The 23941-nt window shown below is 44.9% G+C and overlaps 1 protein-coding gene across 1 annotated transcript in view, besides 1 other annotated feature; it reads right to left on the reverse strand.

Moving 5' to 3' along the window:
* ABCA1 (ATP binding cassette subfamily A member 1) overlaps nt 1-23941 on the reverse strand; it is a 147150-nt gene that overhangs the window by 23764 nt on the left and 99445 nt on the right. Inside the window, exons 16-31 of the mRNA NM_005502.4 lie at nt 22179-22400; nt 20914-21118; nt 19696-19809; nt 17727-17898; nt 16606-16737; nt 15158-15300; nt 14817-14954; nt 13894-14114; nt 12563-12635; nt 11374-11576; nt 9658-9706; nt 9349-9462; nt 7805-7953; nt 6031-6155; nt 4697-4795; nt 1472-1661 (exon numbers count right to left, since the gene is read on the reverse strand). Coding sequence (NP_005493.2) covers nt 1472-1661; nt 4697-4795; nt 6031-6155; nt 7805-7953; nt 9349-9462; nt 9658-9706; nt 11374-11576; nt 12563-12635; nt 13894-14114; nt 14817-14954; nt 15158-15300; nt 16606-16737; nt 17727-17898; nt 19696-19809; nt 20914-21118; nt 22179-22400 — 2349 coding nt within the window. The remainder of the gene's footprint in view (nt 1-1471; nt 1662-4696; nt 4796-6030; nt 6156-7804; nt 7954-9348; nt 9463-9657; nt 9707-11373; nt 11577-12562; nt 12636-13893; nt 14115-14816; nt 14955-15157; nt 15301-16605; nt 16738-17726; nt 17899-19695; nt 19810-20913; nt 21119-22178; nt 22401-23941) is intronic.
* Nucleotides 6059-6353: an enhancer, noted in NCBI's record as "tiled region #1797; HepG2 Activating non-DNase unmatched - State 17:Gen3'". NCBI's record gives its function as "activates a minimal TATA promoter and a strong SV40 promoter by Sharpr-MPRA in HepG2 cells {active_cell/tissue: HepG2}" and the evidence as "EXISTENCE:reporter gene assay evidence [ECO:0000049][PMID:27701403]".

The following is a 23941-nucleotide window of genomic DNA, read 5'->3' on the forward strand; positions in this document are numbered from 1 at the left end:
AAACAGAAAACAAATCAAGGACAACAGTGACCATGTCCACAGTGTGACCGGAAACCTGACTACAGGTCCCAGACACTGCCCTCAGTCAACCAGCACTGAGACTTGGTTCACCCTGCCCTCGGCACTGGTAATTCACTTACACCAAGCCAAGGTCTTTCCCAAGAATTTATTCTGAACATCTAAACAATAAACATTGAAATGAGATTCTTTGTAGTCAAGAGATTTTTAGGAAGCACCATCATTCACTATGCCTAATAAATCTTCTGTTCACTGGAGTTATACTGATGACTAGATTAGCTGTTATTTTATTCATTTTATTTTTTGATATGGAGTTTTGCTGTGTTGCTCAGGCTGGAGTACAGTGGCGCAATTTTGGCTCCCTGCGACCTCCACCTCCCAGGTTCAAGCAATTCTCCTGCTTCAGCCTCCCAAGTAACTGGGATTACAGGCATGTGCCACCATGCCTGGCTAATTTTTGAATTTTTAGTAGAGACAGGGTTTCGCCACATTGGCCAAGCTGGTTTCGAACTCCTGACCTTAGGTGATCAGTCCACCTCGGCATCCCAAAATACTGAGATTACAGGTGTGAGCCACCCCGCACCTGGACTAGCTATTATTTTCAAGAGTGGTAACCAAGCCTTCTTTTAGTTCCTGTACTCATTTAGAATTGCTTGTCCTCATCCTGCAATTTGGTTGCTGATAAAAGCAGCAGAGAGCTATCATAAGCACTCCTCTTCCTGAAATTCTCAAGAAAAAAAAAATGGCTCAGGACTCCTTCCCAAACAGAGTCTCTAAGAATACCAGAGTTGACAAGATCCACAGGAGTTTTCTGGTCCAGCCTCCCTAATTCAGAGGTGAAGAAACAGGCCCAGGCCTGTCAAAGGCTACCAGCTCATTTGTTGCAGAGCCAAGATTGGAAGCCAGGCCTGCCACAGTCTGTCCTGTGACTTTACTGCTGTGGGACAGGCATGGGCACAGTGTGGTCCAAACCTTCTCCCCTCAAAACTCACATGCTTTTTCTTATGACAAGAAGCGAGTTAAAGACTGAAACAGGGCTGGGCGTAGTGGCTCACGCCTGTAATCCCAGCACTTTGGGAGGCCGAGGCGGGTGGATCACCTGAGGTCAGGAATTCCAGACCAGCCTAGCCAACACGGCGAAACCCTATCTCTACTAAAAACACAAAAATTAGCCAGACATGGTGGTGCGTGCCTGTAATCCCAGCTACTCAGGAGGCTGAGGCAGGAGAATCGCTTGAACCTGGGAGGTGGAGGTTGCAGTGAGGCAAGATCATGCCACAGCACTCCAGCCTGGGCGACAGAGCAAGACTCCGCCTCAGAAAAAAAAACAAAAAACAAAAAAGACTGAAACAGACCCTCCCAACATGATATCTCACTCATTCCTGCTTCCAAGCGGAAGCTACCAGCCCATCCTGCACCCCTTCTGCCCAATCACCCCCTGAAAGTGACTCACTTGTGGAGGAGGCAGCCCCCCTGCCCCTGGGGGACACACAGGCAGCATCTTCTTGATTTTGTCGCTGCTACACTGGCATGCAGGTGAAGGGTTCTGCATTGTCCAGTTCCCATTCTGGAAGAGGTCCATGATGGTCTGGGGAACTGGGGCAGTGGTCCACTCTTCCTCCCCTGCCTGGCAGGGCGTGTCTCTGCAAAGGGAAGACAGCAAGAGTAGGATTACCAGAGATGGCCTGGCCTTTCTGTTGCCTCAGGAGCACAGGATCATTCCGTAACAACCACAAACATGCATCTATTCCCTCACCATTTGGAAAAGACAAGCATGATCTCATTTGATTGCTTGATCCCACAACAGCCTTGTACACTGTGACATCATTTATATCATCATTATGTATCATTTTATACATAAGTAAAATAGAATGCAAAGAGGCCCTAAATATTTACATACTGAACTCAGTTCAATCCAATCAACCAACCATTTGCTCACACAACAAACATTCGTTGAGCATCTACTACGTGCCAGATGCTGTCCAGTATATTCGAGGGCCTAAGGTGAAAATACCTGCCTTCATGGAGGTGTATGCCCATGGAGGAGACGAACAACAAATACACTAATAAGATAACCTTAGATGGCCCAAAATAAAGCAAAATAAAAAGACAGTGACTGGGGAGAATGAACCTACTAAGAGAAGACATTTCAGCCAAAACATAACAATGATGGAGAACAAGCTGGGCAAAAGCTTGGCAAAAAGAACATTCTGAGCAAAAGCGATGGCAAGTGCAGGTACAAAGGCCCTAGGAAGAAATGCATTTCTATTTTTTAGGAATAATAGGAAGACAGCATGGCTGGAGTAGGATAAGCTACGAAGAAGAGTAATGATAAAGGAGGAGGAGAGGAGCCAGATGAGAGAGGCCTGGGAAAGAGTCTGGATCTTATGCTCGATGTGCTGAAAAATGAGTAGAGACTGGCAAGATCCAATTTATGTTCTCAAATGAGTAGAGAATTGGGGGATGACTGGGGTGAGAATGCTCGTCACATAAAGAGCTACGCTGTCTACAAATTTTCCCTGGAGATAAGACACAAAGCCTTCAACCTCATCTCCAGCTCTGAATTACTGTGGGACATCAGCAGGTCCCCTGCTCTTTTGGGGGCTTATTTTTTCCACTGGCAAAATAAAAGTTTAAAATGATTTGATTCAACAAGTCATTTCCAGTTCCCTTCCAGTTTCAGAATTCCACAATTTAAAGTAAAGTTACAGCAATTATTTCCTTATTATTAAATATTAAATATAATTGCCAGGCACGATGGCTCATGCCTGTAATCCCAGAACTTTGGGAGGCGAAGGCGGGTGGATCACTAAGTCAGGAGTTCAAGACCATCCTGTCCAACATGGTGAAACTCCATCTCTACTAAAATTAGAAAAATTAGCCAGTGTGGTGGCACATGCTTGTAATCCCAGCTACTCAGGAGGCTGAGGTAGGAGAATCACTTGAACCTGGGAGGCAGAGGTGGCAGTGAGCCAAGATTGAGCCACTGCACTCCAGCCTGGGCAACAGAGCGAGACTCCATCTCAAAAAAAAATAAATAAATAAAATATATATATATACACACACACACACACACACACACACACACATATATATATTATAAATATATATTTTTAACTATTTCTTATTGTTTTCTTATGTATTAAAAATTCAAATGAAGTTTTCCAGATTGATCTCTAATTGTCTCCTTAAAGCACCTGAACTGACCAGAAAAGTCACACTAAGACGCGCTGCCCTCCTGAAGCTTACACTCTGAACATTCAAAAGGGGATTGGCTGAGACAAATTTAAATACAGCTGAGACATGCTCCTGTCAAATTTCCTTCAGGTCCACCATTTTTTTGCAAAACCTAAAAATTTGAATTTCAGTAAGAATTGTAAGGATAAAGGCTCTTCCTTCCAACCACCTCCGGCAGACTGTAGGTGGGGCTCAGACATCATGTTTGAACCCTCTGATGTCAGGGCCGGGCCTCTTTTGTCTCTATGGGCTGGCTCTCAGCCCAGTTCTGGCTCCTACAGAGCCTTCCTAAGCTAGCATCAATCCATGAGTTCATATGGTTCAGCTGGCCAGTGATGAATCCAGATAACTATATTATCATCTCATCTCATGCTTCTATCTTCCCTACACAACCTTCATGTGGAAAATCAAAGGCACCATGAAATCCAGATAGGCCGTGTCTGTGTCCTTCTCTATCCTTGTCATCTGGTTATTTGGGAACCAATATTAGCTGCTAGGATTTACCACCCATTATGTACTAAGTACTAACAAGTATTTAGTAACTATCCAATACTAATTAAGAACAAACAAGCACACAGTAGCTATCCATTTAGAAATCTGCTCTAGAACCTTGTATAAACAGGTTATCATGCTCACTGTTCTGTGGTGTGCAGAGTCACCTATCTTCCCATTGAAACTTGAAAGTCAAGTTTGCCCCCTCTCCAATTCTCCAGCACCTTCCCACCTTGCCATAATTTTTCAGAGATCACTGTTGTTTCATGACCTCAGCTGAGATTCTGCCTAAACCTGGAAACACTAACCCACCTCTACCAGCCTTGAGCACGGCCTCATAAGATCCTCACCTCTCCACCATCTTCACTCACAGTGATCTGGTGACCTCCCTTCCCCTACACTCACTTAAGGGTCATATGGATGCTTCACTGAATTTATTTATCCACTGCTTACTTTTTAAAAGGGGGTTTTGAAGGAAAGTACAATAAAAATATACAATTTGAGAAGAAGAAAGTGTCCCTTTTTATAAAAATTCATATGCCATCTTTTCAGATTATAAAAGCGAAGAAGCTGATAAGCAAAACCTAAAAATCATATATAATGAGAGCCTATTGAAGCACTTAAGTACAGGGGCTGGGAGAGAAAGAAAGGAAAAGCATTTCATCAGTAAGTGTAAAGTGCTATTTAAATTAAATATTAAGGTTCTAAATCAGTAAACAAATGTCTGTAATGACGTGCTTTGCACGGTGTTAGAAGACTCTCCAAACGTTTGTTCCTAGATAATTTAGTTCGGTTACTACCTTCGCTTTTTGTAAATAAAACATAATAATAATTCAAAGGGCAAATGCTGGCGGTCACAATGTGGCATGCAGTTGATAAATGCAGCATATTAGAAATCAAACCAGGCAACAAGCACAAGAAGCCTGCTTATGGCTAAAGTGGCACTCACGGGATTGGGTTTCCTTCCATACAGCGGGTCCCGAAGCCAGGGTCTTTGGTGAGGGCGTTTAAGAGTTCCAGGGTTCCCGTGTCCTCAGGAGCATCATTGCTGTGGGTACATGAGAGGCAGCCAGCTTAGTAATTCATTAAAACCAGTAATCGAGAGATAAAAATGTTTTTATAAATTAAACATTTTAGGAAGCATTTCTCTGTGACAGGCTCTTAAAACAGAAATGAACAAAACACAGAAACCACCCAGAAGGATCTCAGACTCTGGCCCTGTATTCGGCATCAGGGTGACGTAGAGCACTCCAAAGTGGAGCTTGTTTTAAATGGGCTGTATGTATAAAGGTGTGTATGTGTACACACATGTACATACACATATACATTTATATATTTTTTTTAATTTGAAGAAAATCAACTCATTAAGTATTTCAAAAGTGCTTTCACAATTATCCCTTTGGCACAGACAAGCAGGATTTTCCAAGAAAGGGCAAGAAAACTTTGTACTCTTTGCATGCACAACTAGAAAGCACAAAAATAACAGGCACAGGTCACAAACACATGCTATGTTCCACAACTACGGGCAATACAGGGTCAGCAGCCGGAAAGGAAAAAATAAAGTAAACCTGAACTATGTAAGAAGAAAATGTGGGCTTAGAGAAAAAGAGGCCAATTCACATTACATATATATATATATATATATATATATACTTTTTTTTTTTTAAATGCTTCCCTTTTGTATCACTGACACAGTTCCCCCATCTACAGGTCTACAAATCTTTCAGGACTGAAGAAAGCTCCTGCTAACAAGACCCAGAAAAATCCTTTGTCCTTTTCTTTGATTTAATGTATTGTTACAGAGTGGGGGATATTTTTATCTAAAGAACAAACACTACCTAACATCCCAAATATAACAGAATAGATAATAATTACATGAATTATACTTTGCAGAAAACAAGTCTCTGGAGGTTCTATGCTTTGACAGTGTGCCCTGTGACTCAGTTACAGAATTAAAACACAGCTCCACAAATCCAAATATTTTATAACTTAATCATGGATTTTTGCAAGGGTGGATTATTTCACCTAAAACACATGTGGCTGTTCCTGACAACAGTAGGATGAAGAGGAGAGAGGCTGAAAGGCTCAACAGAAGACTGGCCTATTATTCAGGGTTAGTTCGCTGCTGTTCTATGCATGCAGTATTAGCTTATACAGGGACCTGAGCCGCAGCAGTAAAATTCATTCCACCGTGTAATTCTGAAGTCCATTCCCTTGGCCCTCGTAAACATCTTTGGTCTGCTCGAATCTTACCCCCTCCTGGGATGTAGAAGACAAACATACCTGACAAATGTGTACTGTTCGTTGTACATCCAGGGCTGAAGTTCCAGGCTGGGGTACTTGCCAAAGGGTGGCACGATCAGGCTGAACACAAGGGCAATGCAGACAAACACAGCTGGCAAGACAATCTTTACCCAGGCAGTGGAGGGGGCAGGGGGACAGCAGGAAACGGCAAGTGTTAGAAACAAGGCCAAGGGGCAAATCCCTACGAGTCCAGCCCACCTCCCCGACCAACCAGCACGGCAATGAGGAATGCAGGGCCTATGACTGTGCTGCACCAAGGCATTCTTGGCAGCTGGGAAGCAATGGAGCCTGAAAACTAAACCTTTTCTCTGGCAACACAAGGCCAGAGGTTATGGCCACCTGGCAGAGGCACTAAGCCAAGAAGTTCACGAAGTAAATAGTGCTCACATTCAGGGTGACTCAGAACACTGGGTCCTGCCCTTCCTCCTCCTGAAGACTGAGAAAGACTACATTGGGCCATGAACCCAGGACCAGGAGCCAGAAGTCCTGAATCCTGGTTCTGTCTCTAGCACAAGTGTACCCATGTGAAGTCACGCTCCCCACTGGCCTCAGTTTTCTCATTTTAATCTGAGGTCTGAGAACACATGGCCCATTCAAATCCTACACTATAATAAAACCAACTCTACAGCAACGGCTCCAATCATGGACAACCATAGTCATTATCTCCCATGATAGTCTCAGAAAGAATAAATATCCAATTCCTTCTTCAACCTCCTAAGACTTTCTACCATATCTTCTCTGAAAAAAAAATGACTTGGGTATACTTTATAAGTTAACCCAAAACTCCTTCCATTTATTGCTGAGAAATGTATTCCTTATAACCTTAAAGATTCAAATAATGCCCCCAATTCTAATGTTCTGGGATTTCAATGCAGAAAATTAACATTGAGTGAATAATTCTGTATAACAACTACTATAATGAGAACTATCTCTATGTTGTCATTATTTATGGTTGTGTTATCAATGGTCATCATCAACAAACAAAGGTAACTGAGGATCAGAGAGACTAAGCAGCTTGCCCAAGGTCATATAGCCAATAAGTAGCAAAGTCAGGATTCAACTTGAGCTCTGTATGCTCCAAACTCCCGCTCTTAACAATATCCACATCATCAAATGAAAGACTCTCTGCAGACCTTTTCTCTATATTTCTTGATTTTATAGAGTGAAAAAATTTAACCTTTCTAACTAAGCAAGTTAGCATGCAAACACTGACATGCAGACAATAGTCTAACAAGTCTTCTCTGTTGGCCAACTATATTCTGACCTATCTTTTCTATCAGTTTGAGTTAAACATCAACTCAGAGAAAAATCATGTTTCTAATAAATTCACATGTCAAGTGCATCTGGGCATAACAACTCTCATGTTATGACAGCTGAATACACCCAACCAGTTTTTCTACACTTTGTCCTTTTTATGTTCTCCTCCAAAATAAAAATAACATATACACACACAAAACTAAGCACTTACTAATGTCAGGCCCCATTCTAAGCACCTATTCATTTTTATTTTCGTAACAACCCTGTATTGCAGGTAATATTATTATCCCCATTTTACAGATGAGGAGATTGAGGCATAGAGAAGTAACTTGCCAGCGGATACACAACTGGCAAGGAATAGAACTGGGATTGAAATACAGATAAATCTGGCTCCGGCATCCATATCTTGACCAGGATGCTATCCTGCCTTCACTGGTCACAGAGCCTGCAGCCCACCCATGAAGCCAGAGTCTCTGGCGAAAACAGCACGTCTCACCTGAGCAAAAAATCCTTTCCGACTCCGTCTGGCAATTAGCAGTCTCTTCCACAAAAGGGCCACAAACTGTTGCTGTGTAAGTTTCCAGCCTTTCACCTGGTAGGACCCTTTGCCATCCATCCCACTGAGCAAGTCTGTCTCTCTGGATTCTGCAAGAAGCCAACACTGAAGGTCACCTATTATCTTAGGTGTTTTCGGCATTGCCATGCTCCTTCTTCTGGTGTCTTCAACAACTATCTTGAAGGCATGTGTCTGAAGCTAGAAGTTTCTCAGAAGTAAAGGGCTTTCATGACAAAGCTATGTCCAAGGAAAAGCTTGACTCAAAATGTCTAACAGTAGCAGTCTCTGCCTTTCAGTCCTTGTCTGATAAGTACAGAAAAGAAAGGTGTCTTGAGACAACTGAAAAGAGGTGTTCATGCGTAACCAGGTGTTACAGCCAGCCATTCGGATGAATCAAGTCATCAATTTCTTATAGACTACTCTATGAAACAGGCCATGTACGTAGCTTGACATATTTGAGAATACACAATGGCAATTAGCATCTCAGCTTCTCACCCTATTATATTTTGGTAAAACGTGGACACATTTCAAATGATCTAAGTACTGATACTGTATGAAGTCAGGCAGTTATATATAATGTAAGAGCCATACACTCTTTGAGCAGGGGTGAGAGAACTGGAAAGTTTTCTGTTCCTAAAAATTTTCTAGAAATCCTTGTCCTAAACTAATGATACCTAACTGATGTGCTTTTACATCTTAACAATATTTGTTTGATGTCTTAGCTCTCCTCTCCATCTCAGTTAAACACACAAAGACACACTCATCCAAAATATCTAATTCTTTTTTTTTCTTTTTTGAGATGGAGTTTTCACTCTTGTTGCCCAGTCTGGAGTGCAATGGCGCAACCGTGGCTGACTGCAACCTCTGCCTCCTGGGTTCAAGCGATTCTCCTGCCTCAGCCTCCCAAGTAGCTGGGATGACAGGCATGTGCCACCACACTCGGCTAATTTTTTGTATTTAGTAGAGACGGGGTTTCACCTTGTTGGTCAGACTGGTCTCAAACTCCTGACCTCAGGTGATCTACCCACCTCAGCCTCTCAAAGCGCTGGGATTACTGGCATGAGCCACCATGCCCAGCCTCAAATATCTAAGTCTTAGGGTACAATTAACTCTAACAGCAAATTCCCCTTTCTGACTCTTTCAAAATCACTCATCTACTCGAATGAATATTTGTTCAACAATTAAACACCTAATGTATACAAGAAACTAGGACCCCGCAGAAAAGATAATAAATACATGGGTTCAGAGGATTGAGGCACCATCTTTATGTCTTTAAAGGAAGTGATATGGATAGGCTCTTTCAGGTTTGATCACATGCACGATGCTGCAAAGAACAAGTGGCTTTTACCATTTCCTCACTTCTCTTTGGACTCTGTAGGGATCTATCACCTTGGCTAAAGGCCATCCAAAGAAAACAGGTGAGAGCATGAGAGAGAATTTCACATTCAAACAGTAGGACACTGTTTGATCTTGCCCTAACAGACCTGGGTCTATGTCAGAATCATTTGGATCAGCAGCATCATCTTCAGTGAACGGGCGAAGACAGCTCTGCTTGTCCCCGAAGGCCCGCCTGTTTCGTCTTGCTGGCAAGGTACCATCTGAAGGCACAAGGAAAGAATCCCATACTTTATTTTATTTACAACAAAACAAACCTTCCCCATCTGCAACAAACCTACACTCTACAAATGAGAATGCAATAGAACAATTCAAAGGGAAAGGAACAATACTCGTGCACTGAGAAAGCCAGCAGAAGGCACTATCTTAAGTGTGCCATTCTCCCTCAAGGCAGTTACCTGAGGTCTCAGCATCCACCCCACTCTCTTCGGCCACCTTGAGGAATATCTGGAAAATGAGAGAGATGAGAACATTATAAGCACCAACATTACGAGAGTAGTCACCACTGCCACGATTATTATATTACTGAGTGGCATGTTAGCCCCGTAAGACAGAGAAAGTAGAAGCCACATTTCTTAATAACACTTTCTCAGAGTTACCTGGGAGAGAAGCCGTTTTTGCCAGAGAACATTTCCTCAGTGGTGAGAGCTATCAAGCTAGACAATCATTTTCAAATTAAAGTTATGGCTGAGCGCTGTGGCTCAGGCCTATAATCCCAGCACTTTGGGAGGCCGAGGCGGGCAGATCACCTGAGGTCTGGAGCTCGAGACCAGCCTGACCAACATGGATAAAACCCATCTCTACTAAAAATACAAAATTAGCTGGGCGTGGTAGCACATGCTTGTAATCTCAGCTACTTGGGAGGCTGAGGCAGGAGAATCGCTTGAACCTGGGAGGTGGAGGTTGCAGTGAGCCAAAATCGCACCACTGCACTCCAGCTTGGGCAATAAGAGCAAAACTCCAGTCTCATCAAAAATAAAAAAAAATTTAAAAAAAGCTATGACAGACACTGCGCAGAAGAAATTTATTCTGAACCTACAGGGAATGAGTCAAGTGGCTTCTTTCAGGACTGTGGCTCTAAATCTTTGAGTAGGCTAGTACTATGATAAGTTATCCAAGACAGAATGAGCAGGAGGAAATAGAGCACTAGAAATATGATGGCAGCAATTCAAACATCAGAAGAGAATCTGAATGAGCGCAATCATTTCCAAACTCTAGTCTATAGACCACTGTGTCCAAAGTATGCAATAGAAATACAGACTTCAAGGCCTCACCTCCAGAAATTCTGATTCACAGGCCCTGAAGCCAAACCTTAGTATGTTTATTTTTAATAATATCCCCAGGTGATTCTGCTGCACTGTCAAGCTTGGAGACCACTTGGCCAGACAGCTTTTATATCCCCTTCAGCCTTCAAGGTCTGTGATGTTGTATCTCTAAGGGGAGGCATTACATGGATAAAGAGAGGATGGACTTTGAAGCCCCAAACCCCTGATTCTGAATCTCATGTCAGCATTCCTGAGTGTTCATTTTTTCATCTTTTTTTGAGAATTAAATGAGGTCACAGTGATTAAAAAAAAATCAAAAAACAAAAAACAAATCTCAGCACCTGGCACAAGTAGACTATCCATCCATAAACGTTTGTCATTTCCTATGTATGAGAATCCAGTTGATACCTGGCTGTGACACAGTCACACCAGAGAATTGCTCCTGATTCTGATTCAGTAGGTCTGAGCTGGGCCCAAGTTGCTGAATTTCTAACAAGTTCCCAAGTGATCCTGATGCCGCTGTTCCTCACACTGTACTTAAGTAAAGAGGCTCATTAAAGGGTAAATAAGTGCATAGGAGTTTAAGGTTGGGATGTAAATGTGTTAGGTACCACTGGTTTCAACACACAAATCTCAGGCATGTACTGTGGTACAGAGGAAAACACTTCTTTCCTGCTATCTCCCACTACCATCTTAAATGGCTCACTGGGGCCAACATTAATCAGATGTCGATGACCTAAAAACTCAATGACTAACTCCATGATAATCCTGCTCCCAATGCAGGCTACTGGTCTGGCCTTAGGACATTTGGCCTTGCTATATATTCCGACAGTCAGCCACTTAACTTACTTCTTCCAGGGTCGTCTCTGAGATGCCATAACTAGAAATGCCCAGGTCTGAGAGCCGGTCATCAATCTCATGAAAGAGTTCCACAAAGGCTCCCTCCTTAGCAGCTTCATATGGCAGCACATAGGTCAGCTCATGCCCTATGTCTTCCACCAGCCGGGCTTCAGACACATGCTTCCTGATGAGGTTGGAGATAGCAGAGACATCTGCAGGGACCAGAATGCAAAGATGGCTCAATCAACTCAGAGGGGCTTCGGAGTGAGGGCTGGCCATCCCCCACCCTCTCATCAGAGGCCTGCCGCTCATACACCACACCTGTTCCAGGTGTTTAGGTCATTCCACATGTTCATCTCTGGTCTGAGGGTTGGGGGCAAAGGAAAGGACTATGTCTTATTCACCTTTGTATCACCAAAGCCAGGCACATTATAGGTACTCAGTGTAGAATGGGTGGACAGCTGGATGGGTGGATGGGTGAATGGGAGGATGGGAGGATGGAAGGATGGGTGGGTGGGTGGGTGGATGGGTGAATGGATAACTGAGGCTCAAAGTCTGGTGTCTATTGCCTAAGCTCTGGGATTCTTCAAAAGAAAACTTGAGTAAAGGAATCTTAAAAGATTCTTCACCCTTTCCTATGCTTATAAAGTAGGTTCCCTCATTTACCTAAATAAAGGGTTAATCTAACAGTCCATGGAAGCAGAAGCCTTCCTGGGAAAAGCCAGCCATTAGGACTAGGCAGAGATAGCAAGGGTCAAGACTTCTGTTCCACATATGCTACTGGTGACACTGGCCTCCTACACACGCTACCCAAGAAAAATCTGGAAGGCTGTTCCTCATCTCCTGGGCTCTCACTCTTCTTATGTACTAAGCTCAAATCCCACCCTCCTGGCTTGGCCCTCAGCTCCTCATCCCTGGTATTCAGTGTCCACTCCCCTAAGGGATTCCCCAAACCCCAATCATCTCAGCTCTCTGGGACACTGCCCTGCTAGCTCCCAAACCGAGCCCCAGGCACCCCAGCAAGCATTAGGCCAACCCGCCACCAAGCTGCTCCCACACCCGCAGCCACCCAGCCCCAGCCCAGCAGCAAACCTTGAGTCAGCGCCACCAGCCTCTGCACCTCTCCTCCTCTGCCTCCACTCTGCCCAGCTGGGGGAAGCTCAGGCACCACCTGAATAAGAAACCCCAGAGTCCTTACCGATGGTCAGCGTGTCACTCTCATGGTCGCTGCCCAGGCCAGCATCAGAACTGCTCTGAGAAACACTGTCCTCCTGATGGCAAAGAAGGAGGTGAGAACGGGTCAGGGACGGAGCAAGGCAGAGCCACCAGCACCTTCGCCGGGGAGGGCTTCCAAGAAGCTCTGTTGTGTGAGAACTAAAGGAAAAAGCTTTCCCTGGGACACATGCACTGGCAGCCGTGGCTTCAGAGGACCCTGTCTGGCATGTGTGTGCCGTGTGAACAGCCTCGCTTCCTGAGGGTGAAAGGTCAGGAAGCAGAGCTGCCAAAAGAACTGTGGCCTGCCAATGAATGCTGCAATGAGGCCTTTGCCAACCATCTCAGGCAAGGCCTTTACCTGGCTACATGTCTAGTTCAATGCTTCTCATGCTTTAATGTGTGTTCAACCACTCAAGAACCTTGTTAAAATGCACAGATTCTGATTCGGTAGGTCTGAGCTGGGCCCAGGTTGCTGAATTTCTAACAAGTTCCCAAGTGATCCTGATGCTGCTGGTCCTCAGACTGCACTTGAGTTAAGAGGCTCATTAAAAGGTAAATAAGTGGATAGGAGTTTCAGGTTGGGATGTAAATACATTAGGTACCACTGGCTTCAACACACAAATAAATCTCAGGCATGTACTGCGGTACAGAGGAAAACATACCTGGTAATTGGGTCTGGTCCCACCACTGTTATTTACCTGCTGGGTGACCTTGAATCAGCTACCAATTCCCTACAAGCCTCACTTCCCTCATCTGGGATAATAAATATAGTTACCTTCTTCCCAGGGTCTCTCTGCACTTTAATTGAGATGATAGAGGTTAAAAAAAAAAAAAAGGTTGTAAATGGTAACAACGCTATATAAAATTAACTATTATCATTACTTTCTTTCATGCCCAGAGTGTCTCTGGCATGAAATCAGTGCCTAATAAATATTGGCTGTTTTATAGTTTAAAAGTTAAGGTCAATGAGATTGAAAAGTAATGAGCAGGAACACCAGGTCATTTGTAGCCAAGGCTCTTACCTCTTGACAAGTCTCTTTTCTTTGACATAATAATGTCCTCTAAGGACCTTCTCCATCACTCTCTGTGCCTCATAGGAAAAGGAAAACGGGATTCAACAGAACTAGCACAATGGGAGCAGAGGGCCCCTTAGCTTTCCATGCCTTAAGTATGATATGATTTCAAAGGGGCAACAGAGCAGGGAGATGGTGGTTTCAACATGGCAAAAGGGGTGGAGATGGAGAAATCATTCACAGCCAGCAAGTCCTGGCTGCCCAGACCCAACACCAGCCCAGCACCAAGACTGCAGCTCACCTTTTTCAGGTATGACACAGTGCTACTACTGTTTCTGCAGGAACTGAGGGAGGATTCCACATCTTTCTTGACCAAGGTCAGGTAGTAGCCTGTTCCCAGCTGGTTCTTCAGAAACAGGGAGGAGCCCACACAGCACAGCTTCCCATGGGAGATGATGGCAATCCTGTCCCCCAGGACGTCCGCTTCATCCATGTGGTGTGTAGAGAGAATAATGGTGCGGCCTGCCAGGCACAAACACAAGGATGTGGGACAGGTGAGGCCTCTCAGTTCTGATTTGTCACAGTGACAGGGACTAGAGAGATATTAGCAGGGGTAAGCACTGGAAGAGACCTGGAAGCCACCTTTCACCCTGTATGGCTATGACCCCTAGAATGGCAAAGCTTTGTATATATAGGTACCACATCCTCACAGAGGTAAGAACAGTAGCATTTTATTTGGGAACTTGCTATATGCCAGGCATTGTGCTAGGTGGTTTGTGTGCATTCTCATTTAATTTAATCCTCTATGAGGTAAGCACCACTATTATTATCGGCAAAGAAGGTGAGGCAAGTTGTGACTTTCCCAATGTCTCAGGGCCAGCCAGAGTTGGCTCCAAGCCTGCCTGTGCTCCTCATACTGTACCACATCAGATCTCTAACCAGAGAGCCCAATCGTCTTCCTGCCCCTCTCCGCTTCCATTCATTTAAGCATCCACCCTTTCAACTAACCATAAATTTAGTGCACCATGTTGGGGACAAAAAGATGAATAAAGACACAGCATCTCCTCTCAGGAATCTCAGTCTCAATGCCCTTTATCTCTTCTGTGATAACAGAAGAGTATCCCATGGCTTCACAGAAGCCTAGCCATGAGATACAGCCACACTTCTCAAAAGCCCCCCGCTCTCTCTCAGTCCATTTACTCAGAATAAATACACATCAGGCACCTTGTCGGTATTTCAGCAGCAGCTCCCATATTCCCCTGCGGGAGTAAGGGTCCACACCAGCTGTGGGTTCATCCAGAATGACAACCTTAGATCCCCCGACAAAGGCCAAGGCCACAGATAGCTTTCTCTGCATTCCACCTACAAAAAAACAGAGCAAGACAAACTCCAGGACCAGCCCCAGACAGTGAGTGAAGGCAGAGGACCTAGGGGCACAGCCAGGGACAAGTTTCTGTTACCAACCGCACCCAGCCTGGGACCCTGGGGCAGTGCTGATTTTCCTCCGCATGTGTGTAGCCGGAGGAGGAGGGGAGAGGGATAGGGAAGGTAGCTCTGGGCCGCACCTGACAGCTGGCTTGTTTTGCTTTTCAGCTTGCTTGATGGCAAACCAACATCCAGGGCCATCTGCTCCATCTCCGCCTTCACGTGCTTCTCAGAGAGCCCTTTCAAGCGGGCATAGAACCAGATGTGTTCTTCGACAGTCAGCCTGGGGACAGGGAGGCAGGTCAGCTCTGGGCCCTACTGGATACCCCAGAATACAGTGTCCCCTGGCCCAGAACAGATGAGAATGGGCATATTTTTCTCTCCCCGTGCTTTTTAAAATAACTTTATCAATTTCTGAAAAATAATCTTCAAGATTCAAGGTAGAACAACAGTGAGCAACCACATGAGCTGCTCAGGAAATCAAAGTGAAAGGTGACAGATCGCTTCCAACCTGTTTCCAGCAGGCCTGGCCACCATGCACCAGGCAGTTACAACTTTCAATTTCAGGGCCCCAAGATGTGGTCTTTAATGGGCTGTCCCCACAGCACGTCCACCAAGAAGTCAGCTCGGCACTCACCTGGAGCAGCCTTCCTGAGCCTCAGGGGACCTCAGGCTCTGAAAGCGGGGAGGACCCTGCACATGAGCCCCATGTGTTCACTTTAGATGAGGAGGGAGCACATGAGCCCCAGCTGTTCACTTTAGATAAGAAGAAACATAAGGGAAAAGCCTTGCCCAAGATTGCAGAGCTCAGGTCTCTCTCTGCTCCATCACACGGGCTCCCTGGGGGCCTTATGGCTGATGGGACAACCTGAGTGGGAGCAAATGTCTTAAGCAGCAAATATAGGTCCATCATACCAGGGCCCTGAAGCACTACCAGGTCTGGGAAGTCTGCTCCAGGCCTCAATAAGGAGGGTGGCGGGGGAGAGGATGGGCTAAAGGGCCCTCCAGCATGACAATAATGGGAAGCAATGTTTCCCAAGCCCCCATCCACTGGCTGGGCTGATGTCACCTCTACAGCTCAACCATTCACCTCCCACTTCTCCTAAAATCAAAGAACAACTAGGTCTCAAGGTGTTCACGGAGGTGAGCCTGCCATATTCAAAGAAAGTAAAATGTGGCCAGACACAGTGGCTCATGCCTGTGTTCCCAGCACTTTGGGAGACCGAGGTGGGCGGATCACGAGGTCAAGACATTGAGACCATCCTGGCCAACATGGTGAAACCCCGTCTCTACTAAAAACACAAAAATTAGCTGGGCATGGTGGTGTGTGCCTAGAGTCCCAGCTACTCGGGAGGCTGAGGCAGGAGAATCGCTTGAACCTGGGAGGCCAAGGTTGCAGTGAGCCGAGATCGCGCCACTACAGTCCAGCCTGGCTACAGAGCGAGACTCCATCTCAAAAAAATAAAAAAGAAAAAAAGAAAAAACAAAAACACAGCAAAGTAAAATGCTTAAGTCCCACTCCTCCCATGATGGCATGACACACACACATCCAGAAAAGGCCTATTCTTAACGTGCTGCTGGTACTCACATGTCAAACAGCACGTTATGCTGGGGACAGACCCCCAGGTTCTGCCGGATGGTGCTCATCTCAGAGCGAATGTCTTTTCCCAGGATGTAGGCGGTGCCCGAGGTCGGGGGGAACAACCCGGTCAGGATTGACCTGAGGACAAAAATTTAGAAGTACAGAAGTCAGGGTTGACCTACCCTTAACTCTAGATGCTCCATTCAGTCTGCAGAGAGAACAGAACACCAACCCTCCCACCGCCCCCATTCCTTTCTAATGAACCCTACCAGACCCACACAAAGCAAAGCTGTCCTTTTGCTTCGGTAAATAACTACAAGTGGGCCTATGGGTTAGAAATGCCAATTTTAGTATGAGCATTTTTTAAACGAAGTTTCCAATCTGCAATGAAAGTATTCTTTAAAAAATGTATTTTGTATGCCTAACATCGCATGCATGGAAAATGGACAAACAAGAACATATTATTCAAAGATAAAAACAATTTTTGTGTTAGGTAGTAGGATTTCTGACTGCCTTTTAAAAATCTTCTGAAAAGCTCATAATATATTAATTCTATGTTTTAAAAAAAGATTAAAAAGAAAACAGGAAAAGAATGTCACCCCCCAAAGATATACCCTTTGGAATGGTTAGAATGGTTGAGGAATCGTGCTGGAAGCCACTGAGGCTAACGCTGGTGCTTTACAGCCCCTGACCCCTCCTGATACTACCCACTGTAAGGTCCTTGAGGTCGCAGGGAAGGCAATCAAGCCAGCTGCCCAGCTTGATTGCGTCTCACAGGTGCTTCTCACATCTGCTTAGAGACAGAGTTCCTGGGAATTACCAACTCCCTCCAACATATGTAATCTATCTTTTCGTGGCTGCAGGTTCCAAGACCACTGCAGAATTCTGTGAACTACATGGGAAAGGTCATCTGAGGCCCCAGCTTGTTTTAGGCTGAAGAAATAACATCTAGCAAACTAGCACGTGGAAAGACACTCATGATTAGATAACATGTTCACATTCGGCAACTCCTCATGTGCTCCTTCCCTTGGCCCAGGGATCAGCATGGTTTCCTAAGGTATAAATTTCTAACTCTACTGCAGAACCCTCCTGTGGCTGATTCTGCGGGAACCACACCCTCTTCTTACATGGTGGTCGTCTTCCCCGCTCCATTGTGGCCCAGGAAGGAGGTGATCTGGCCCTCATAAAAATTCAGTGCCAGGCCATCGACAGCCACCTTCATCCCATCTCGGTAGACTTTTACCAGGTTCTGAATGGACACGCCCAGCTTCAAGTGGGTGGGTTCCTCCTCCATGCAGACTGTGACAGGAGAGAAGACAGAAATGAACCCACAGAAAGCACTGAGGAGTGGAGTGTAAGGACACAGGGCACTGCGCTTGAACTTTCAGAAGTGCCTTCTCTCCATGTCCACCCTGGTTTCTCAGGCAGGCAGGAGGCTATAAATGTTTATTTAGGGCCTATTTGGGTACTGATGTTGGTGATGGGAATACGATGATAAAGGAGCATTCAGAGTCTATTGGGAAAAAGGACTTGATGAACAATTAAAATAGAGGATGCTGAAAGCTGTTTAAAAAATACATCTAAAAATGCCATGGAACTGTGATACACCCCTCCCAGGGAACACTACTCAGCAGTGAAGAGGAATGAACTGTTGACACACACAACTTGGATAGATCTAAGGGAATACTGCTGAGTGAAAAAAAAAAAAAGCCAGTATCAAAAGGATACCTACTGTATGGTTCCATTTATGTAACATTCTAGAAATAATAAAACTGTAAAAACGAGGAACGCATTAGTGGTTGACAGGTGTCAGGAACTGAGGAAGAAGGGAGGTGGCTGTGGCCATTAAGGGGTAGCATGAAGGAGCTTTGTGACAATGAGATATTTCTGCAGCTTGACTGAGCTAGTAATTACATGAATTCACACATGATAAAATTGCATAGAACTAAATACGCACACACACACACAAATGAGCGCACATAAAGCTAGTGAAATCTGAAGAAGGTTTGTGAATTGTACCTATGTCAATTTCATGGTTTTGATACTATTCTACAGTTACACATGCTGCTACCATTGGGGAAACTGGATGAAAGGTTTAAGGGAACCCCCTCATGTAATTTGTATTACTTCTTGTGAGTCTGTAATTGTTTTAAAATAAAAAGATTTTCTTTCACGTGCCATGGAAGTTCAGGGCAGAGAGTGACTGACTACCTGAGAACCAAGGAGGGATGCTCAGGGGAGGGGATCCGGAACTAGATCTTGGAGAGAAAGGAGGAGTTGAGAAGATAGGCAAGTTAGAGAGAAAGTTCTCCTGTGAGAGCAAACAGTACCTACAAAGGCATGGAGGTGTGGAAGAACATGACATATTCCAGCGACTGTGAGCATTTCTAGGTGACTGAAACAGGAGCTAGGTGTAAAGAGGAGGTAGGAGAAGATGATTAGGAACAGCAGGCAAGCGTGCTACACTAAGGGGCATCATACTTTTACCAAGGGCAATCAGGGGATGGGCACAGAAGAGACTGGCAGAAAAGGGACCTATTAAATATTTAGGAAGCCACTCTAAGCACAAAGAACCCAGAAGGCAGAGCCTTTGATGAGCTGTGGACATCTCTGTCTGCAGTTAAGAGCCAAGAGAGGATTAGGGATCTGGGTAATGATTACATTATGAAGCATAGGCTGAGCTCTGTGGTAGCCACTTGGTCTCAGCCCACACAGGCTGATACACAGGTCACCATGTCACAGGCAGGCAGCGAGGCTATGGTTCCACAATCACGCTTGTCTTTACCTCTTTCTTCTAGCTTGTTAGGAGACCATGAAATGTGTGTTTGGGAGGGGGCAAGTAAAAGATACTCTTCTAGAAGCCAAGACAACAAAGAAAATGTCCCTCAGGGATCGAGACCGTGAACTCCCAATAGGTCAACAGCATTGGACATAAATGGCATGGGAGGATTTGGAAAGGGACACTGCATGTGATTTCTCTGCCCCTGGAGTGGTTTCACAGTCTTTTAGAAAGGCAGGAGACATCGCTTGCCCCCAACAGTTAGCAGAGGCAGCAGCACTAGGTTAAAGAAAGAGCAGGAGGTCAACAGCACTTACTTTCTGATATTCTCTTCTGGTTGGAACCAGGGTGGCTCTTCTCATCACTTTCCTCGCCAAACCAGTAGGACTTGGTGCAAGGAAAATACCAGGGCCTGGGAATTCCGTACTGGCCTGAAAGCAAAGCACAGGTATGAGCCAAGCTCAGCATCATCCCAGTATTCTGAGGGTTTCCCAGCCAGGTCCATTTCCTCCTTGACACATCCTTTGGAGAAGGAACAGATTTGAATGGATGTGGGGAAAGAGGGAGCTAACATTTGCTGAAACCTGCTATGTACAACGTACATTCTGCACCTCTGTAAGTCCTTCCAACAACCCACGGGGCAGGTGCCATCCCCATTTTAGAGATGAGGAAACTGAGGGATAAGGAGCCTATCCAAGGTCCCTCAGCCAGTAAGTTAAGACTCAGAATTTAAATCCAGAATCTGCATGCTGCAAAATTGCATATTCAATGAAAGAAGTTCAGGCAGGAGTAATAAATATTTCATGTATACCTCCTTAGGGGAGGATCAGAAGGTGAACCAAAAAGGGTTAAATCTTGCTCTCTCAGAATTTGATCTCATATGAAAACTGTCCAACGCAGGTTCCTCTTGGACTTGGTCAAGAAGATGTATTATATTAAGAAAGAAGTACTAAAGAAAAATTCAACATGAATTTTTATTGAATGCTAATTAAATCACAGGCAGGCCTTAGAGCTAGTATATTTAATTATTAACAACCTGTACTCAGGAAACAGAACCTCTCCTAGTTGTACCCCCTCTGAGGACACAGAAATACAGAATTGGGTGAGCATTGGGAGGATTCGCCTGGGCTTATTGACCCAGTGTAACCGAAGTGGATTCACCTCCACGTACCAACATTTAACAGTTGTGTGACCAAAGCTGGTTACTTAACGTCTTTGAGTCACAGTTCTCTCATTTGAAAATTGCTGGTTATTATAGTAACTACTTCAGAGTAGCCTTGTGAGAATTAAATGAAGCAATGTGTATAAAACATTTTGCATGCTGCCTGGCACACAGTTTTCAAGAAACAAGTGCTGTACAAGTAGTGACAATTGTACTTTCAGCATCAGCTGCCTGTCCTTGGACTATCTGTTTACTATAGATCTATAGCCCAAACCACTTCCCAGGGAAGCCCATGCACTGCAGAGATTCTAGCACAAAGAAAGGACATCAGCTAGAAGTCATATTTTCCAAACAGATGCCCAAAGCAGTGTACCTGGAAAGACAGCCTCAATGTACCAGGTCATCACCCCATAGAGGAAGGTGTCAAACAGCATCATGGAGACCGAAGTGGTGAGATTGAAGCCATCTTCCTCCACAGGACTCTCAAACAGGTTGTCCCACTGCACTCCAATGCCCTGCTCCTCAAAAAGGGCAAAGTACTCACAGCCAAACCCAAAAGCCACAGGAGACAGCAGGCTCTGTGAGAAACAGGCAAAGTCACCTATCCATTTCCTGGTCAGTCTCATTTTTCTATCTCTTCTAGTGTAAATTATACCTGGAGAAATTTGAATTTGCAAAATGGATCAATCATAAGGTGCAGAAGTAGTATTTACCTATAGAGTCCCTTTAGGGGAGTGGTGGGCTACCAAGTAACATATAAAATGATTCCATTTGTAACCACTCATTATATACAAACATTTCAGAAATGCATATACAGTGAAGCATAAAACTTTTAAAACTTTATGTTTCCAAAGATGCCCCAAGGCTCAGCAATCCTGTTCCCCCACACACATGCGCATACCCACAGTCTTCTGAGGCTCCCTGCTCAGCCAAGGATGGCTCAGGATCAGAGGTGCCTGTTTGGGGCTGCTGATGCCTATGAAGCCCAGACTGAGGCAACAGGAGCATCCTATGAGTCACTCTTAGCTTTCCTGATAAGTGACCTGGGGACATCTGACAACTTGCACTTGTAGGGGCTCACACACTCTCCAAGATATCCCCCTGCTCTGTACGAGGGAAGGAAGTGTCCAAGTCAGGAATTTGTGGGATGAGGCACCTGCTCCTCAGTTGTGCTTAGTTCAGAAAACATTACTCAAGCAAAACACCATACTGGACACAAGGAAGACAAGAGAGGTCATCTCTGACATCAAGAGTTTTCAGTTCTATTTGTGGCCTTGGCTTTGTCATGAGCTTAACATAGCCAACAGAGCTGGGAGATAAAGGGCAGAGATGGCATCTGTTGCCTGAAGCCATTCCTCAATGCCATTTATCCCCAGCCCAGTTCAAGATGCAGTCTGGCTCTCGGAAAAATTCCATTCAATTCAATTCAACCAGGATTCACTGAGAAGACTAAAGGTAAACAATTTAATAAAACACAATGCTTGCCCTTACCCTTAAAGAGCTTAGAATCTAGAGCTAAGGTTCATGTCCCATTGGAAAAGACAATCATCTTCTGTTCTCAACTTGCTGCTTTTATTCAGGGACTCCAAAGGAAGGTCAAATGCCTACAGCCACTGAAGAAAGGCCAGAGGTACTCACAGCGAAGATCTTGAGTGTGAAGCCCACGTAGTCCTGCCATGCCACACACAGGACGTAGGGCAGGTACAGCGTGAAGTAGATGATGCCCCCACAGGCTGCTGCCAGGTTGGCTCTGGAGAAGAGTGTGCTAATCAGGAAGCACTGCAGGATTGTCACCACAGCAAACACGGACAGGAAGACAAACACCACGCTGGGATCACTGTAGGGCAGCAGGTTTCCTAACTGGGAAGGAAGAGACACATCAAATGTGCTGCCTCAACAATCCCAAGCACTCACTTGTATGATCTACAGAAAAAAGACAGGGTTTATTCCTACTCATGTTAGAGACAATGCAGAGGCGTAATGCTGTTCATCTTTCTGATGAGGCAACTGATCATTACCATCCTAAAGAAGATAAGTGACTTACCCAAAACTACGCAGAAAAATAATGGCAGAGTTATGAATACAACAGAGTCCAGGGCTTTCTACGCATTTCAGTGGGCGAGTTTGCTCTTTGTTTCTTCAATAGGTAATTTCAACTGGTTTCTCCTTATATAAGGACTATGACTGGTGGCACCACAGAAGAGCTGTGGGAGATAATATCCCACGTAACTTTTCTGTCTAAAAGCCAAGGAAAATGGCCAGGCAACTTGACTTTCCCTCTTGATCACCATGGATTCTGCATTCCCACAATCATCCAAACTCTTGTGGATATTTTGAGCCTATCTCCGGCTGATGGGTACATGTCTGCAGGACCCACCAGCATGCAGTTGTCTCAGAGCAGCTCTTATGCACCAACCATGGGACCACTACCTCTGCCACTGACCTTCCCCTTGCAGTTAGATAACAGAGCATGAGGGAGGGGTTGCTTTTAGCAAGAACTGTATCCTACTGTGGAACCTCAATAAAGTCCTTGACCTTCCTGAGCCTCATTTCCTTGTCTGTTAAAAGGGTTAGTGAGGATAGAAGAAGAAGCCCATGTGATGTGTTTAAACAGTCCTTGGCAATCAGTAGGAACTATTTGTAACAGATGGTAACTAGTATTAAATTAGTTAGTTCTTATCTCTTTGTACTCCTTTTGCTTCAAAAACATTTATTTTTACCTGATGTGTCTTTATATGAAATGCTTGCAGAGAAAGAAAATTCGGATATAAATATATTAATGTATGGTTCAGACACAAAACTGCACTGCCCAGAGTCCCCATTCAGGGAAGCCTTGTTGCCCAGCTGTCAGTAGACGGCCTCAGGCATCAGCAACTCTGGGTTTGTCACAGCAGCAGAGAGCCATGTAGGCCCTGGGGCACGACCTTCCCAGGGCAGCCCACATCCAGTGATTGATTGAGAGGGCTGAGGTAGGTGGTGTCAGGAGGGAGGCCTTGGGGGAGCACAAAGGGCTGGATGTTTCAGCTCGATGAAGAACAACTCCAACAAGCTGCATATTCTCTAGAGTGCCCCACGGGGTTGGCCCTATATCACAGTTCAACTCCTCCCTCTGCCCAATCCTGCATCTTCCATATCTCTTCCATAGGTATTGAGCCCTCATAAATACCCATACATCAAACTCTATTTCAGCCTCTGCTTCCAGACAGTCTAACCTGCAACAATATATATCCTTCTGATTATTGTTCTTAGAAACTTAGGAAGAATCGCCACCCAATATATCTAAGAAAATAAATAGCTTTCAGATGCTGCCATGAACCACTACCAATGAGACAGCATGGCACAGTTGAGCATGTGGTTATCTGGAAAGCATGAACCCTGCACTCTCATCCTACTTAGCTGCT

This window comes from Homo sapiens, chromosome 9, assembly GCF_000001405.40.
Source record: "Homo sapiens chromosome 9, GRCh38.p14 Primary Assembly".
NCBI classification, from domain to species: domain Eukaryota; kingdom Metazoa; phylum Chordata; class Mammalia; order Primates; family Hominidae; genus Homo; species Homo sapiens.